This window comes from Homo sapiens, chromosome 4 (assembly GCF_000001405.40).
Source record: "Homo sapiens chromosome 4, GRCh38.p14 Primary Assembly".
NCBI classification, from domain to species: Eukaryota; Metazoa; Chordata; class Mammalia; order Primates; family Hominidae; genus Homo; species Homo sapiens.
Genome location: NC_000004.12, coordinates 36,190,570 through 36,209,710, shown reverse-complemented (window position 1 = coordinate 36,209,710; position 19,141 = coordinate 36,190,570). Strand labels below are relative to the sequence as shown.

Here is a 19,141-nt window from a genome sequence, read left to right as displayed (position 1 = left end):
AAATGTTTTTCATGGATTATTAAATTCTTTTGAGATTAAAGCTTTCATGTATCAGTAGCTAATGTGGTGAGTCCCTACAGTGTGCTGGTTTTCACTCCTATTCTCTTGAAATGTGTGTCATTTCTAGAAAGGATTGGTTTGATCTAAAATAATTTTAATTGGAAAAAAAAACTACCAGAAGCAGCATCAGATGACTAGTAGAAGCAGGAATTAACATTTCAAAAGATAGCAAAACACCCCGAAATTGTATGGTTAGCAATTATATGTTAATACCTTATATATTTTCATTCTTTTAGGAAATTTGATTTTGAATAAACCAAAGCAGATTACTTCTTACTATCAGCTATGTGTGTCACTTCTTTCTGGTTACATTATGATGACAAAACCCTCTGCTTGTTCTTTTTAGTCCTAAGTATTATTGGTAAGTGCATATTCAGATGTCGAACATGTGGATCAGTGCTCAGGTCTAAACACTAGTGGAATGAATCAGTGAACTTGAATATTCTTGAATCTTTCATTTTTATAAAATCCAAGTATTTAGGGAGGTCCAAGTGCTCTCTTAAAGTATCACTGGAAGAAAAAACAGACTTTGAGTACAAAGCCCCCAGCGGCTGTGGTTTCCTGTGCGTCCCAGGTGAGATCTTGCTCTTTACAGGGTTGGTCTGTTTATGCTCCAGGCACATTCAGAAAGTTTCACTATTGTTGGCCACCTCTGGGACAGTTACAATATATTCTGTCTCTCTTTTTCAGAACTTTGACTTTCCATTCTTTCTATTCTGAACCTGCCTAAGGTTAGATGCTGTAAGTTTTCTGGATTTATATTTTTCCATTTTAGGGGAAATAATTGCATTTTCTGTCCTAAAGCTCCCCCCACCCCACCCCCAACCAAAATACCGAGATGAGTGGATATAAGAAAATAAACCAAGGGGCTTGGTATATCACCAAGAAATTTTAAAACACTTCTACGTGATTATATTGCTATGACTTGAAAGAAATATGTGTAGCTGGCCAAAAGGCATGCATTCATTAAATCAGAAGTAGAATCGAGAATTTTTCCTTTCCTAATTAGGCTCTGTAGGCTATTGTGAGGGTTTAAGATGTTCATTAAAGTAGACAAAGTGATGCCTACCCCTTCCTTATGCAGTGGTTGCTGAGTTTCGTTTAACTCATGGCTGCGTGTCTCTTTGATGCAGATAGCGCTGATTGAGATGGGATTCCAAACTCCATATAGCAGGTGTCAACAAACTTTTTCTGTAAAGGGTCAAGTAGTAAATATTTTAAGCTTTATAGTCAAATGGTCTCTGTTGCAAGTATTTAACTCTGCAGTTATAGCATAAAAGCAGACGTAGCCAATACGTAAGCCGATGAATGAGGCTGTGGTCGAATAAAATACAGAAGTAATAAAAAGCAGAGGTCCTCCTTAGGGGCCTCTGCATTTGTAGTTCTTTCTGCCTGAAATGCTCTTTCCCCAAGAGTAACATGGCTTGAACCTCTCTCAAATTCATGCTAAAATGTCTCCTTTGCATTTAAGCCCTGGCCACCAAATTTACTACTACGACTGTTGCTCTCCCCTGCCACCCCATCACTCCCTTAATTACTTTCTTCTACAGGGCTTACAGGCCAGATGATTTATTTATTTCATACAAGCTCCGTGGGGACAGGCATCAGCATTGCTTTTCTTGTGCTGTGATAGCCTTAGCAGAACATTGTCTAGCACGTGGTAGATGCTTAGTATTTGCTGTGGAACGAATCTGTGAAAAACCTAGCATTAGGCATATTTTTCTTTTAATTTTTCTAAAACAGCAATTTATAAGAACATTGTAATACAAGCTGCTGAACTCAACAACATATTTGTGGGTGAAAATTTCCAGGAACCATTGATAATACTGATAAACATTAACAGGGTAGTGAACTCTTGGGTTTTTTTTTTAACAATTGTTTCCCCCTTAAAGACATGCACATAAATTATCAAAATACAATTGTCAAAATACAATTTAAAAACTAACAGACACATTCTAGTTTATACTTTTTCAAATAGTGTTTGAAACTGTCTTTTGTTTAATGAATGACATTAAGCAAAATAATCACATTCACAATCTGAGCTTATTTCGCATGGTTGTCTATTTACTTTTGAAATGGAAATGCCAATTCTGAATCAATGCCTAATATGTGAGCATTGCCCAATATTTGGTTAAGAATATAATTGCATAACACCATACAACAAAAGAAATACTGAAACATTTCCAGTTTAAAATATGAAAAGTTGTTTAAATATTTGATTGACCTAAATATAACATCCCTAAAACTAGTGGTTTAAAAACTGTGTGAAAGAAACAATAAAATGTTGAATTTGGGGGGCTGTATTTCAAACAGGTCAAAGCAGATGAAAAGCTTAATAAGTGATACTTGCTTTTAAAAACCTCTCACTGGGTTTTGAGGATTAAAATAAATCATCTTCTTCACTTTTTCGCAGCTGTAAATAATAAACTTAAGCTTTTCAGCAGATTTGCATAGATGCAAATATGAAAGACTGGATATAATTTATTCCAGCATTTCCCAAATATGCATCTCAGAAGAGAAATGTTTGAAGCTGTTGTAAAGAAAAGAGAACATGGTTGGATGGCTGTGCCTCTTCGAGGAGATGCATAAATTAACATCTCCAAGAATATCTGCAATAAGGAAACCTTTTTGAATTTTTACATTACTATTTTCTAAGGATGTTTGTGCGTTCAGCATAACACACAGAGCATCTTTATAAAAACTGCACTGTATATTAAAGAATTTCTATTTTACTTGAAATGTTTTAGGACTTTCTTACTTGGGGAAATTCCTCTTTTTTTAAATTTAACTTTTTTTTTGGCCATGAGAAGGACTGATGTGGCAGTGTGAGCCTGAGACAGCTAAAAGTTGATCATGTGAGGTTAAGTCAGCACTTGGAGGTGGAGGAGGACACAGATGAGCAAGATGTGTTACTTGTCTTTTTGTAGCTTCCATTTAGTGCAGAAAAGAAATATATATGTGAATAGTGATAAAACCCAAAGACAAAAGTATAATAATTGGAGCAAAAAGGTCTGCAGAATACAGAGTCCTGAGGTTACCAAGGGTTGAGAAAGCATTTCTTCAAAGACCTTCCTGGAAGGAGAGGGTAGCAGTTGAATTGCCCTTTGCAAAACGGATAAGATTTTAACTGGCATTTTTAGGTAAAATGCTCTTCTGTCTACAGGGAAAGGTACTCATAGAGGTGATATCTAGATGTACTTGAGGGTTGAGATAGTGAGCAGGTGGAGGTTGGAGTTATTTTATTGAAGATGGACAGTTGGGTTCTAGGACCAGGAGAGAGAAACTGCCAGTGAAAAGCATGTTCAGAGAACAGGTAACTAGGGAAAGTGAAAAAGCCAATAATCAAATACAAAGGAAAGGTCAGAGCTCAGACAACGACTGGCAGTCAGAGCTCCCAGAAGCCAATAGCCCAAGACCTGGGAGGAGTTCAGAGCTTATGCTGTTTGTGCCTTTGTCAGTGACTGGTTTCCATGTCACCATCCAGTCTCCAAGGCTCCTTTACTGGAACAGTTCTCCACCTGGCTACGCAAGTGTTTGAGTGCCTTGGGTCTCTTGGTATGCTTTCTTGGGGCTGCGGTGAAGGCAGGTGTTGCAGAAAGTTGGCAAGTCCATGTTTGACTAGGGTGTTATATGTCAGTCACCTTGTTGATCTTAAAAGTGAATCCGAAATCCTTGATAAAAAGTATGTTTTCTTTTTAATCTGCAAATTAGCTGGGCATTTCTCAAAGCACTAGCTACTTGTAAACATTGTGCCAAGGAAATAAAAAGCTTTAATATTTTTGTAGTTTGAGGACGAAAAAAGTTTCATTCTCCATAAAATTACCTGGTTAATTCCTTTCAGCCATCCTAGCTGCAGAGAAATGAATAGGGTTTGGAATCAGACAGACATCATTCATTTGCTGTGTGACTCAACTTCTTAGAACCTCCATTTTTCACATAAATGTGTGAGGTCAAGACTATCTCTGTGAAATCATTTGGAAAAGTAGGTAACTTTGGGCCTCACTCTTAATTGATGCTCAATAAACCTCGATTTTCTTTTTTTTTTTTTTCAGGACACCATTTTATTGCAGAGGACCTTAAATAATGTTACTGTGAGTCCTAGTCAGTTCATACTTTGATAAATACAAGGCAAAGAAATCGTGTGTTCACACTGAACTTTCAGAATTCATTTTTTTTGATTGTTATAAAAGCACATAGTTTAAATGTCAGAAAGTAGTACATAGCTTATTTTAAAAAAAGTGACATTTCTTACCTCCAACCTCTTCATAAGAGGCAGCCACTTTCAACTCTTTTGTAGTTACTTTAGCATTTGTTTTATATGTCTTACTGTTTTTATACTGATTTTTTTTTAACTTTTCAGTGTTAGGGATTAGCTATTGATGTACCACCATGGAAGATCATATTTATTCATTTTAACCACTGTTCCCTCCTTCCCTTCTAGACACAATTCCTATTATCCTTTTAAAATAGTTACATAAAATATTTAGATGTCTGTAATTTTGTTTTATAGTATAACTATAAAGGCTACTCATTTTTGAACAATGTAGCATAGTATGATTAATTTTTTTCATTGACAATGTTTAGTTTTTCTTGAAATAATAATTGTTGATTTTTTTGTTTGCTTGATTTTTTTTTTTTTTTTTTTTTTTTTTTTTTTTTTTTTGAGATGGAGTCTCGCTCGGTTGCCCAGGCTGGAGTGCAGTGGCTTGATCTTGGCTCACTGCAAACTTCACCTCCTGGGTTCAAGCAGTTCTCTGCCACAGCCTCCCGAGTAGTCGGGATTACAGGCGCCTGCCACCACACCTGGCTAATTTTTGTATTTTTAGTAGAGACGGGGTTTCACCATCTTGGCCAGGCTGGTCTTGAACTCCTGACCTCGTGATCTACCCTCCTCGGTCTCCCACAGTGCTGGGATTACAGGCATAAACGACCGTGCCCGGCCTGTTTGCTTAATTTTTAATATGTGTACTCATTCATCTGAAAATTCTTCCTCAACATATGAATCTCTGAAGTAACCAAAATAAATATACCTATCAATTTCATCATCCTGTAGCCCGCTAAGAAAACTTTAGTTTGGGCTGGTTGTTCCCCAGGCCGAGTGCACACTAACATCTTGGGATTCCCTTGTATCATCTTTGGGATTCTCTATGCCTCTCTCTAGTGTTTTTGTCTTTCCATCTTTTCTTTAGATAAAGCACAAGTCTTTGAAGCTTCCTGAGAAAAGGAGGATAGGGAGTCAATGTTTTCAGATCTTCCATGTTTGAAGATGTCTTTTTTTCCCCCCTAAACATTGTTATTGTTGGTTTATTATGTTTTAGAAATCTTAACTGGAAATAATACTTCTCCAGATCAGTAATTTGTATTCTAGATCCATAGTAATCTAGAGGTAATATTGAGAAATCTCATTTTTGATACTTTATACATAGCCTATTTTTCAGTTCTTGGAGATTTTCTTGTTTTATTCTTCAATTACTTTTCTTCTTTCTAGAATTCCTGATAGTTTGGTGTTGGACTTCTTGCCCTGAAACACTGATAAAAATCCAGCTTTTCCATTTTCCCTTTCTGCTCACTAGGAAGTTTCTTCAGTTGTGTTTCCTAACCCAGTTTTTTTTGTTGTTGTTGTTATACTGTAATTAACATACAAAACATGTTCTTTTGACTGTTCTTTTTATGGCATAGTGTTACTTTTTCACAAATAAATCCTTTTACTTCTCTGAAGATACTAATACTTTTTTTTTGACGCTTTCCTGTAGAGTCTATTTCTTTTTAACTTTTTGGAGGAGTGGTTTTGTCCCTATCTTTTACCTTAGTGGTATTTTTCTCAAATGTTATGTTAATCTTGAGCTGTCAATTTAGAGTAAAATACTGCAAAACTGATCGGAAGCACCGTAGGCTCTGATGGGCCTTGCTATTTGTTTCTTGTAAGACGATCATGGTAGGTTTTTTAGTAATGTATTTCCATACAGAAGCCTCATGCTAGATGCTAGTATCTTTTAAATGAATCTTCTTCCTGAGTGTTATAGGCCTGGTAACCAGTTTTTTTTGTTTTGTTTTGTTTTGTTTTTTTGAGACACAGTGTTGCTCTGTCACCCAGGATGGAGTGCAGTGGCACGATCTTGGCTCACTGCAACCTCCACCTCCCAGGTTCAAGCAATTCTCCTGCCTCAGCCTCCTGAGTAGCTGGGATTACAGGCACACATCACCATGCCTGGCTAATTTTTGTATTTTTAGTAGAGAGGGGGTTTCTCCATGTTGCTCAGGCTGGTCTTGATCTCCTGACCTCAGGTGATCCACCCACCTAGGTCTCCCAAAATGCTGGATTACAGGGTGAGCCACTGCGCCAGGCCTGGTAACCAGTTTTTGGGTGGCTCATGTGGGAAAGTGGACTTTGAGTATTGATAGTTATGATGTAGACTTTTATTTGATTCCTCTGCTTTAATATAGCCATGCCTGAGTCTCCCAGCCCCAAAACCTCCTGTTTTATTCTCTCCATTGAATAAAACTAGACTATTATGTTGAGTGAAGGTGGAGAGACAGTTTTCCAACAGTGAGAAGTAGGGGAGAAGGATTCTGTGATGTTGGAGTGCAAGTCTACATCTTAAACTGCCTTTCAATATATCCATTATCAGCACCTCACCCTCACTTTCATAGTCACTTCCAGAGTTACTTGGTATCTATTTCCTGAGATTTTCAGAGGTAATGCAAGAGTAAATGTGTTTTTCTCTTAATTTAATCGAATGCTGGATTAGCGATCAGTTCACATCTCTCCTTCTGTTTCCAGATTTCTAGATATTGTTACTGTCCTCGACTTCTCTGGTCAGTGTTGATTTGCAGGCATTTATTTATTTTTATTTATTTCTTAACCCTTTGATGTCTTTTAGTGAGGTTTGGGGAGGAGTAGAAGTAAATGCAAGCTTTTAACTGAGATTTTTAACTGGAAGCTGGTTCACGTTGTATTTTATATAATATGACTCCATAAAATAAAGAAGTGTGAATCTTTTAACATAGCTTTTTATACACCACTTTATGAAAGCACTAAGCTCTTTGTAGATATTTTTAAAATTGGTAGTTGCACACTAAAATTCAGGCTTTATCATTGACTTCCAAGAATCTTTTTAGCCCCTAGAATTTTATGTTGAGTACCTTTTTTTTTTTCTTCTCATTTTAGGATGTAGATATAGCAGAGATGGAAGCTGAGATTGAAGATACTTTTTTTGTTTTATTTTCGTTTTTTGGCCCCAGCTCATTTGGTTCATATAATCTTGGAAATTGCTATTTTGGTTTGCTCAAAAGTGAGAAAGTGCTCTTTAGAATAGAGAAGTGCTGGCATTTTATAGAAATATTTTAGTAATTCCTTGCATCTTTCTCTCTCTAAAATATTTTGTTACTGTATCGTTTAAAAGTCTTCTGCTTCTTAAAAGAATAATTGGATAAATAAATAGCTGAATAAAAATGAGTAATTAGATAAATAAAAATAAATACGTATGGAGATTGTAGTCCTAGAAAATATTGGGTCTCGTTAGGGTTAGAGGAGGGAATAACATAAAATATGCTGTGATTCTTTAGGGCTATGTAAACAAGGCAGATGAATCTGGAACAGCATGGTGATTATACTTTTTCCTTTGAGATTGTTTAGAATATTTGAGAAGTATGTTTTTCATTGCCTTAAATGGCAGGATTAATAAAAGCCATAAATTTGACTTAATGTCTTTGATGTTCTTTCCAATTGTGTGATTTTTAAAGGTGACAATTTGGTAGCTTCTCACACCTTAGATTGGTATCATTGGTTAGTTAGCATGCTTGTTAGATATTAGGATTTGTTTTTTAAGCTTAAAGATGTAATCTTGAAAAAAAAAACTCTGCTGGCACTTAGGAATTAAATTAAACAAGAGTGCCTCTGTGTGAGTACTTCATAAATAGAGATTTAATTGTGTGTGTATACAGTGTTGTTAAAAAATAATTTTTAAGAAACACATTTTGAGACAACAAAAACTGATACCAGATGGTGAAGCTGTTTTTATGAAAGCAGTTGAAACTTTACACCACCTGCCCTACCAGAGCTCAAGGGAAGAGTTTATAGAAATATGTTCAATAATACTGCACAAGTCTAATAAATTATTCGAAAAAAGCTTCTTAAATAAATGTTTCCCTTCAGAACCCTAAAAACAAAATGAGATAAAACTCAGGCTAATGTGTTTCATGTCTGCTTTACCTTTTTTCCTGAAGGAATTCTGAAGTACTTTGCAAGACTGAACTCACATATAAAATGTAGAGGTCAAATGTTATTACTACCTACAGGGATGTCCTGGGTACTTAGCTATAAAATGTACTAATGTCTGCTTTGTATAGCAGTTAAGAGCAGTCTTTGGGAAGACACTCCCAGATATGTTCTTTATTACCTGTATGACTTGGACATATTATTTAAGCAACCACTGCCTCTGTGCCTTCAACTCTAAAATGGATATAATAATGTTACCTGTCTCACATGTTTGTCTGGAGGATTAAATGAGTTAATATTTGTGTGTGGCTCTACACAGTTCTTGGAAAAAAGGACTATGTGTTTGCTATTTTTATTACCAAATGTAGTACCAAATAACTTCTTTATTGATTGCAACTTTAAATCTATTTTCTGTGTAATAACGCATCATTATTTCAGATCTAATTTGTATTGTATGGTAGCCGGAACATAGGCTAAGAAGGCATTGTCTTGTATACATTATCTTTTCCTGTTTTTTAAAATTTGTGAAGCAAATTAAGCTAGTAATTGAAATTTAAAGATACAACTTCAGAGAAAACTTTTCGAAGTACTTTGGCAAATTCTTATAGTGTATGTATTAATTATATGTAATTACAATGAAATTAGTTGCCGGATAGTGAATATATGTTTAAAAACACATGAGAGGAGTATTGAACTTTTGCACAGAAAATTCTTAAACATTTAGTAATCATTGATATTTATTAATTTAATTTTACATGGGCAGTTAGAAGCACAGGACTTCTCAAGCTTTTCCTTTTATTATTTAGTTGAAATTTTGATTAATTTGTAAGGTTTACCAGTATGAATTAATCTAACTTTCCATGTGCTAGAAAAGAGGAGGCCGGGCACGGTGGCTCACACTTGTAATCCCAGCACTTTGGGAGGCCGAGACAGCTAGATCACCTGAGGTTGGGAGTTTGAGACCAGCCTGACCAACACGGAGAAACCCCATCTCTACTAAAAATACAAAATTAGCTGGGCATGGTGGTGCATGCCCGTAATCCCAGCTACTCAGGAGGCTGAGGCAGGAGAATGGCTTGAACCTAGGAGGTGGAGGTTGTGGTCAGCTGAGATTGCACCATTGCACTCCAGCCTGGGCAACAAGAACAAAACTGTGTCTCAAAAAAAAAAATAAATAAATAAACAAAAATAAAAAAAGGGAATAGTGCTGAGAAAAGATATAAGTGTAAAGTTTTATCTTTAATTAACTAATTATTGGAATTCAGTATTGAAGTTCACATGTGGAAAACAACTAATTGAATGTTGATAGTTTTAATGAAAATAGATTATTCAATGTTTATATGAATTTAGGTTTAAAAATAAATTGGTTATTTAACATTTTTAAATAGGAGAGTATCAAATGCATACATTTTAAATAACCATATTTAAATTTTTCTTTTTGTTTCCAGCTTTATTGAGATGTGATTTTCAAAGATTATATGTGTTTAAGGTATACAGTGTGATGATTTGATATCCCTATATATTGTGAAATAATTAACACAAAGAAGCTAATAACAACTGTCACCTAACAGAGTTTGTTTTTGTGTGTGTGTGATAAGAACACTTCAGATGTACTGTCTTAGCAAATTTCAGGTGTACAATACATTATTAGCTATAGTCACCATGCTGTATATTAGATCTCCAGAATTTATTCTTATAACTGAAAGTTTGTAACCTTTACGTGGTATCTATGTATATGTGGAATCTAAAAAAAATACACTCATAGAAACAGAGTAGAATGGTGATTAACAGGGACTGGGAGGTGGGGTTAAGGGTGAGATGTTGGTTAAAAAGTTTTTAATTTGGTCAGGCGTGGTGGCTCACACCTGTAAACCCAGCATTTTGGGAGGTCCAGGCGGGCAGATCATGAGGTCAGGAATTTGAGACCAGCCTGTCCAATATGGTGAAACCCTGTCTCTACTAAAAATACAAAAATTAGCTGGATATGGTGGCATGTGCCTGTAGTCCCAGCTACTCCGTCAGCTGAGGCAGAAGAAACACTTGAACCCGGGAGGTGGAGGTTGCAGTGAGCAGAGATTGTGCCACTGCACTCCCGCTTGGGTGACAGAGTGAGACTCCACCTCAAAAAAAATTTTTTTTAATTCTAAAATGTATTTTGAAATTACATGGAAATTAATGGTAAACTTTTCAAGCTTTCTGTAGGCTCTTATTTATTCATTTTTTAATAACAAGGTAGTGATGGCAGTGGTGACCCATCTGGAGCCGCTGCTGCCATGACACTGGCTGCAGCAGAGAGGTGTGGCCAGGGCTGCATACTCTACAGAGATGGCGTGAGCCAAGGACAAGTGGGAGCCCTGCCCCTTCCGAGTTGGTAAGGTGGGAGCTCCTCGGGTGCAGCTGTAGTTGCCAAGCTGTGGCTGTGGGACCCAGGCCTCCCACTCCAGGCCTCCCACTGGAGCAGACAGGAGTCCTGCTCTCCTGGGTGTAGCTACAGATGCCCAAGTTGTGGCTATGAGTCCAGGCCTCCCTGTGCTCTTGGTGGAGGCTGGAAGCTGGCAGGAGCCCTGTGTTCCCAGTTGCAGCAGCCTCTGCCCAAGTCAGGGCTGCAGAGCCAGGCATCTCTGCACTCTTGGGGACCAGAAGGCCACCCCCTACCTACGAAAGCTCAAAGATGTCTGCTCCAACTGCCTGGCTTCTCCCTGCTCCCAGTGTCTGCTCCTATCTCAGAGCAAGATTGGGGCCCGGGCCAGGTACTGTCACAGCCCATCTGGATCTGTGCACTCTTGGGGAAGTGCTGACATGCCAGCTCCCTGCTGCCTCAGCCCCACTCTGGACTTTGGGTCCTGATGAGCATGGGAGGGAGGAAAGCCAAGGAAGCGCTGAGGTCAACTCAGCACTGGCCTGCAGACACCTCTTGACATGAACAGCCTGGGCGCCATGAACAGCAGCAGGAGGTGAAGCTGGGCCATGGGCAGAAGGGGGCAGGTCCTTGGTGAGTCCCCACCTTCAGGCCAGGGAGGGCCTAAAGGTTAGGGGCCGGCTAGTCCTGCAGACCACAGTAGGAACTTGTGGTGCCTTTTCTGGGTCTGCCTATGACTGCCCATGGACCAGTTGGTGCACACTTCCTCCCCTGAGGCCCATAAAAGCCCCCGGATCAGCCAGAGCTGCGCAGACATCAGGACGACCAGCTGCAGGGAGGAGCTACCCATGGCCAGGGCCTACCCTCTGCTGATAGCTGCAGACATCAGATGACCTGCCTGCAGAGAGGAGCTCCCCACCCAGGACCTCCTCTGAGCTATTCTATCACTCAATAAAGCTCCTCTTCGCCTTGCTCACCCTCCACTTGTCTGCGTACCTCCTTCTTTCTGGACACAGCACAAGAACTTGGGACCTGGGAGATGTCGGGGCTGAAAGAGCTGTAACACAAACAGGGCTGAAACACTTCGCCTTCTCATCATGTTATGGGTGAAAACAAGGAGAAGAGCTGCGGCCCTTCGGGGAACCGAGACCTGGAAGCTCCCTGAGGCAGGGCTGTGACTCCCTCTTTGGACCTCTTAAGTTCCTGGAGTCTCAAGCTTCCAGCCGCCACCATGTTTCCTGGTGGCAGCTGTGGAAGCTGCTTCTGGTGTGCCTGGTCCAGCTGCAGCCTTGCAGAGAGCCGGCACCCATGCAGACACCTTGTGCTGGCTGCCCCGCTGCAGCAGCTGGGGTGCCTCACTGTGTGCAGTGGCTGGACCCCATGCTCACTTGCTCACACACCCCTCACTGCTCCACACCTGGCTTGCCGTTGGCAGTGATGGGATCCAGGCTGGTAGCGTGAGCTGAGCACAGCCTGCTCAAGCCAAATGGATGGAACAAACCCAGTGGGCCAGAGCAGAACTCAGGCAAAGGTGCCACCAGCCACAGAGGCTTCTGGCCAGAAAAGCAACACCCTGAGGATCCTGCAACAGTAGTTTTACAAAGTGTTTATTTTGTCATATAAAAATCTGGTTTTTAATATTTGCAAAAATAAAAGTAAGGATGAAGTTTTTCAGTAGTGTTTATTTCTATATTTATACGATAGAAATTCAAGTAAATATCTTTCAGTGAAAAATACATTCATTCGTTTCTTCGCTGTACGTGAGGAACTATGATAGTCACTGGTTTTATATTGATGAACGAAACAGAAATGGATTCTGTACTCAAGGATCTCAAAGTCTGTTTGATGTGATGGATATATTTACCCTGATTGATCATTACACATTGTATGCGTATATCAAAATATCACATTTACCCCATAAGTATGTCAATTAATATGTATCAATAAAATGCGTATTTTGCAAAAAGATAAGGAAGGCTCAAGAAAAAGAAATCTAGTATGGGTGGTATACGAAGCCAAAACAAATATATCATTACACATTCTGCTTAGTGTCATTAAGTAAAGAAATGGAGCAAGAGAACAAAGAGACCTAAATGATCTATGCATAGTCAGGAATGGTCACTTGGTGAAATGACGTTAAAGATGAACTCTCAAGAATAAGAAGGAGCCAGCCATGTTAGGAGCAGGCAGGCAGCATTCCAAGCAGAGACAATGGCATATGGGAAGGCCATGAGGCAAGAAAGAGTCTGGAGAAGAGAGGCAGTGCGGCCAGAGAGTGGTGTCCACCGAGTATGTACCCACAGATTTTGATGGCTGACTGGGTGAATGCGTGACCACAGAAGCCAACTTTCGATGGTAGGAGTGCAGAATAGCTTTCTCCACCTGTAGGGCAGTTGTTCTTTCATGTTCTTTCATCTGCTACACCCTGTGGTTTCTCATTCCATTTCACTGTGGGCTGGGATTTGTCTTATTTACCTGTCCCTTCATAGAATGTTAAAGAGATTTAATAATCTTTAAAAATATTGAGTTAAAAATAGATGAAGACATCAAATAGTCACCTGGCAGTTGAAAAAAATTAAAATAATTGGGAGAATATCTTAGGAGCTGATTCTCTCAGAGGCTGAGATTTTCCTCAGAGAGCCAGTGGTAGGGTGTGTCCTTTGCATTATGAGCGCCTGAGAGGGGAGTTGTAGCTAGTCAGATGCTGCATCTTCGACTGATCCTTAAGCCTAACACATGAGTAAGCTATCGGCCCTCCCTCTTCCCCTCCTCCTTTTTCTGTGGACACAAATATTAAGTAACTGGATGATGCCTCAGACACAAACTGTCTATCAAGATGGTGATGGAATTCTAAGAAAGTTTTAAGTGTTGGAGTGGCTGCAGTTAATCTTAAGTAAGACATGTGAAAATAGGTTGTAAACCTTTTATACTTGATGTTTTGGCAGGTTTCAAAACTTTGAATTTAATTCTGCGTGTTCTGAAGTTTTCTTGCATTCCCTCAACCGTTCTTTTAAAAGATGCTGATTATATGAGTGCTGATCATTTGAGTTTTTATTTGTCTGTTATCCCACCCATGGTGCCAGAAGGACTGTGCTTTTAATCATGTCACTCATTCCTTCAGCAAATTCTTTTTCAGTGCCATATTCCTCTCTGTGTTACTTGCTGATCCTACAGAAGGAAATAAACATTGTCCTTGTAAAGCATAAGACCTGGTGTGGGAGACAAACATTAAGCAAATAAGCAAATATATAAAATTAGAGGTTGTGTTAAGTGCTATGAGGAAAAGTAGAGGGTATTGAGAGAGAGAATAACTTTGTTATCCACTTTGGATCGGGTCATCAGGGAAGGGATTTCTTTGTAGTTGGTTTAGATGTAACTGAAAGATAAGGAGTCAGCAAAGGGAATAGTGGGGTAATGGGAGGCCCTAAGGGCTCTATCCCCCACAGATGTTAATTATTTTTATCTTAAAATGGAAGATTATATATGTAATTGAGCTCTAGCTTACTGTCATTCCCAGTGTGAAGTGGGTTGTGTCCCAAAGCAAAATCTTGATTTACTGAATTACTGTTTGGATTGTGTTAGAAGGTATGTATTTCTCTGCCTTTAAGTGTGGAAGAGATAAAATGAAATGAGCAAAAAGTGACTAATTTATCCAGTGTATAATTATTGTGTTTGCTTAATATTTCTTTACCTTTCAACATTTAATGCTGAGAATTTAAGGAACCCTGTGTTGCTAGAAAAAGTAAAAACCAGATGGCTCTAACACTGTTGGATGTTGCAAAGTGAGGAAAACCCATTGCAGACAGGCCAAGAAAAGTTAAATTCTAGAAGCTGAAAGATGAAAAATAAGATGGAAAGAGGGCTGGGTGGTCAGTTGTGGTAATATGCTTTTAAAGTAATTTTTTTGAGATGGGGCTCTCACTGTGTTGCCCAGGCTGGAGTACAGTGGTGCAGTCGTAACTCACTGTAGCTTCCACCTCCTGGGCTCAAATGATCCTTTCAACCTGAGCCTTCCAAATAGCTTGGACAACAGTTGTGCGCTACCATGCCTGGCTATTTTTTTTTTTCCTGTATGTTTTGTAGAGACAGGGTTTTGCCATGTTGCCCAGTGATCCACCCACCTCAGCTTCTCAAAGTGATGGGATTATAAGCATGAGCCACCACGCCTGGCCAAAATTTTTATTTTATATTTTTTTTCTGTAATTAGAATTAAATATGAAGTGGTTATATGCTTTTAAGATATTTACATGTAAATTTACATGTTCTTATTACTTCATAATTAATTCAATGCTTATATGTGAAAATGTTGTCTGCAGTAAAGAATCTCAAAAATTTTTTATATTTGATCAGATTTGGTATAATTTTATCTTATGCAGAACATATTTGCTAACAATTAATTTGGGAGGCTTGCTGTGTTTCACTTGCATAATAGATGTGTGGCTGGGGAACCAGCCCAGAGACAAGCTCTCTACACTTCCTGAAGTTCTTTTTCTATTGTCTTCTGAGAGCCAAGAAAAGTTATGCCAACTCCTTGTTTTAAACATTTCAGAAAATTGCAAAAGCACAAGGTAGACAGAGTTGATATTTGTTTAGAAATAATATTTTTTAAATTTTTTAAAAAATAAGAAGTTCGTTTTCGTATATTTTCTGTGTTAAAGACCAAAAGTACCTATGGTTGTCTGCCTTCAGGGAAGGAGAATATAAAATAAAAATAAAAAGCAAGCCTAAGTAAAAACAGTTCTTCACTTCTTCCTTATATAGTCAGAAAAATAGTTTATTTTTTCTTTTAAGCCTGCAACATGTGATATCTTTTTTTGCTTTTGTTTTTCATGTCAGTAGCCATTTTAAACTACCTTTGCCTTTCATATGATCATTTAAAAAATATACTAATCTTTCACTGAATTTTGAATGCTTATAAATGATTCTGTATATTTGTTCAGGTCTTTTTCAGCTTAATCAAAATTCAATATGTTTTCCATGTAAATCCAATTGACAAAGCCTTGTTATTTTAGTAAGATATTTATGCCCTAAAACAAAAATCAAGGGAAAATAAAATAGATATATAAGCTTAATGAGGGATGAAAGCTTATATTATCTTCGTGGAAGGATTATCTTTATTATTAGAAATGGGTTCAGTGACAGTGTTTCTGACCACATTTTGTTGTGCACCGAACCTTACAAATGTGTGCAACAACGCTGTTAATTTTGTCATTAACAAAAAATTCCTAGGTCAACTGATTAGAAAGTACTATTATGCTATTTTTTCCTATGTGCCATGGCCAAAACTGTGTATTATCATAGCCTATTGTTGTCTATGGTGTTTAACATTAAATAATAATATATTTACACGGTTACATTACAAATGAATTTAACAATCTAAGTTCATGTTACTTGAATGTAAAATAACAATTTCATATGTTTTGCAGAAAACGCATGTTTCAAAAGAGATGGGTGAAATTTGATGGCCTTAGCATTTCTTACTACAATAATGAGAAGGTAAATACATTTTACAGTTTTCAAAAATTGCTTTTTTATGCATACGAAGAGTAAAATAAGCAAGCAGTTTGGTTTTTAAGAATAGGAGGTAGATTCTCAACATGAAAAGAATTTGAAGTTGCAACTAATAAATATATTACCATATGCTTAGTTAATTAAAATCAGATGATTTTTGTCTTAAGTATGTACTTTCTCTTAACACACTAATTTTAAGATTTAACCACATGCTCTTTTTTGTAGCTCATAATCTAACATAATTTTCTCATTATTTGGAGATTTCCACCCCCTAATATTGGCAATACCTGTGGCTCTAATAGATATTTAGCCTTCTTTTTATATATTGCTTCTTTATTGCTGCAGGACAGAAGAATATATGCTTTTAGACAGTAACACATACTGCAACATAACACACATTGCATGCTCTATGGCTGAGAATAATGGAAGATATAGAGAGGTGTTAATTGTTTGGTTTCATTTTGCAGTGACTCAGAGCATCAAATCGGTATAAACACATCTCTTGGAGGTTTGCAAGATGGTTGGATGAATATTTTTGAAAAGCCATTTTCTTTTTTTTCTTTTTTGGAGACAGAGTCTTGCTCTGTTGCCCAGGCTGGAGTATAGTGGCAGGATCTTGGCTCACTGCAGCCTTTGCCTTCTGGGTTCCAGCGATTCTCCTGCCTCAGCCTCCTGAGTAGCTGGGATTACAGGTGCACACCACCATGCCTGGCTAATTTTGTAATTTTAGTAGAGACAAGGTTTCACCATGTTGGCCAGGCTGGTCTCAAACTTCTGATCTCAAGTGATCTGCCGCCTTGGCCTCCCAAAGTGCTGGAATTACAGACATGAGCTACCACGACCAGCCTTAAAAGCTGTTTTCTGTTTTAGCTACTATTTTTTTCTAGTTTGCTTGTACATTTGAGTCTTAAGACAATTCGTTGCCTAGGTTGAGTAGAAGGTAGTCTCTATAGCTGATGGAATCTCACTGCTGGTTTTCTCCAGCACCTGTAACCTTTTCTGGTTTGATTGAAATAAGGAGGAAAACTACTCAGGAGTGAGACAGGCTTCCATGCCATAAAACTGTTGCTGGCACTACCATTGTTTTCATTTGAGATAATTTCTAGTAACTGTGTCAAACTGGACTGTTTTTCCCTCTTTCCCTCTGTTTGTTCTTTTAAAGCTTATCTCAACTGCAGTGAAGAGATGAGGACCTCTCACGTTTTTAGTTATTGATGCAATGAAAATGATGCAGCTTGGTTTGAAATTAAAAAGTTCATATAAAAATGAGATATTGCAAATCATTTAGCTTAATATTAAAAAAATTTAAGTTGTTATTTTCTGTGACACTTCATCCATTTATTGTCTAGATGGTTGGTTACATTTTGGCAAAAAAAAAAAAAAAAAAAAAAAAACAGAAACACTGGATTTGGTGTTTCCTAAAAGGAGAGAGAGTTTCTGTTGTGACTCTTCTAGCAAAAGGGATGCATAGGTGTGGCCATAGCCACTATTTTGGCTGGGTGACCCGGTGTTAACAGCTATGAGAACTGAACAGTTGGGTCTTTTAATGTTTAAATGTGCACTTGAGGAGCATGTGGTTGGGCCTTTGGGAGGTAGCGTGCACAGTTACACATTCCCTAGGTTTCTTCCACTTTCTTTGAGGCCGCCAATCATGTCTCTGTAAGGACTCCTTCATTATATCACAGAAAATGGCATGATCCAAACAGCCTTGATATTTTATCCCCTGCAAAGAAATCTAACTCACCCCCATTTTCACCCAGCTGTGGGCAGAATTGCCCTGTGATCGTTTCATTGTCTCAAATTGGTAGATAAATGACAGGCTTGCCCTAGATACCTGTGTGTTACAGGCTCAAGGGATGCTTTAAAATTTCTTTCCTTAAGGAAAATTTTATACTCTGAAAAACACAGGCATTTTGAGCATTGTTGTCATTTGAGTATTTTTTTCTTTATTGTCTTTATCTTGTACTGTTGCAAGACAAATATAAAAATCAGCTCTACAGTGTTAAAAATTACAAGATTTTTCTTGGGATCTCATACTAGATTATAAATCAGCCATTAGATAAACTACAACATTCTGAGGTTTTAGTGACATAGTATTTTGCTTGTTAAGTATATTTTGATCACCTCTGGGGAATTATTTTTTTCTATTATTCTACCAGAAATATTTACTTGTTAACTATATCCTTGTTATAGGTGTGTAGGTTATTTTTTAAGGAATTGTTTTCTCTTTAACAGGATCTATTAGAAAGATAATCTTTTTTTAGTCCCTGTTTCTTTCAGTACAGTGCTACTTGACTTATTTCTAGTGACAAAATGGGTTAATGGTAACATTTTCCTCAACAAATAGTTAATTATCTCACTAGAGGGATGTTGTTATAAGTTCCTCTAATTCTTATGCAAGCTAAAATTTGGAAACAGATCACGTAGGGGATAAACTGTAAATGTTTTTAGGCATTCTAATTCCTGCTGTCTGGTCTCAGTCTCTACAGACTTAGAGCAGAGGGGCTCTTACACTGTCCCCAAAGATGCTGTGCCCTTTCCCACATCCTTAGGTTGCCTGACAATGGAAAGAGTTTATCTTCCTCTTCTGAATTTCTAGAGCACTTATTGGTCTAGTTTTGGCCTTGTATTGCCATTTTAACCTACTTGGATTTATAGGGTTTCCTTTGTTAAGCCAATCATGTCATGTGTCTCTGCCTAATGATCTTTTTAAACAGTGACTGAGTATACACTATGGGAAACTGGAGCATGTCTTTTCCTACATGTTCCCCTTGTGTTTTTGTTCTTCCATCTGAGCCTCCCTAGCCATTGCCATCCATCAACATTCTGTGCAAACATCAGACCCATCTTGTTATTCACCTCCATGAGCCTTTTCTTGATTTTCTCCAACTGTGTGACATTTGAAAAATAATATGCAGGAAAATTCAGAAGAAAAACAAACTGAAAGTAGGGAGGCAAACCAGGAGACTGTTACACTAAGCCAGGCGTTATTA

At 37.9% G+C, this 19,141-nt stretch overlaps 1 protein-coding gene across 16 annotated transcripts in view; it reads left to right on the top strand.

Annotated features, from left to right (window-relative positions):
• The window catches only part of ARAP2 (ArfGAP with RhoGAP domain, ankyrin repeat and PH domain 2), a 239,381-nt gene that overhangs the window by 35,074 nt on the left and 185,166 nt on the right, over positions 1-19,141 (top strand). For all 16 annotated transcript variants that reach the window (XR_007096351.1, XR_007096352.1, XR_007096353.1 and 13 more), the window contains exon 7: positions 16,064-16,133. Coding sequence is in view for 7 of the 16 variants with exons in the window: in XM_047449575.1 (XP_047305531.1) it covers positions 16,064-16,133 (70 nt within the window). In the remaining 9 variants the exon portion in view is untranslated. The remainder of the gene's footprint in view (positions 1-16,063; positions 16,134-19,141) is intronic.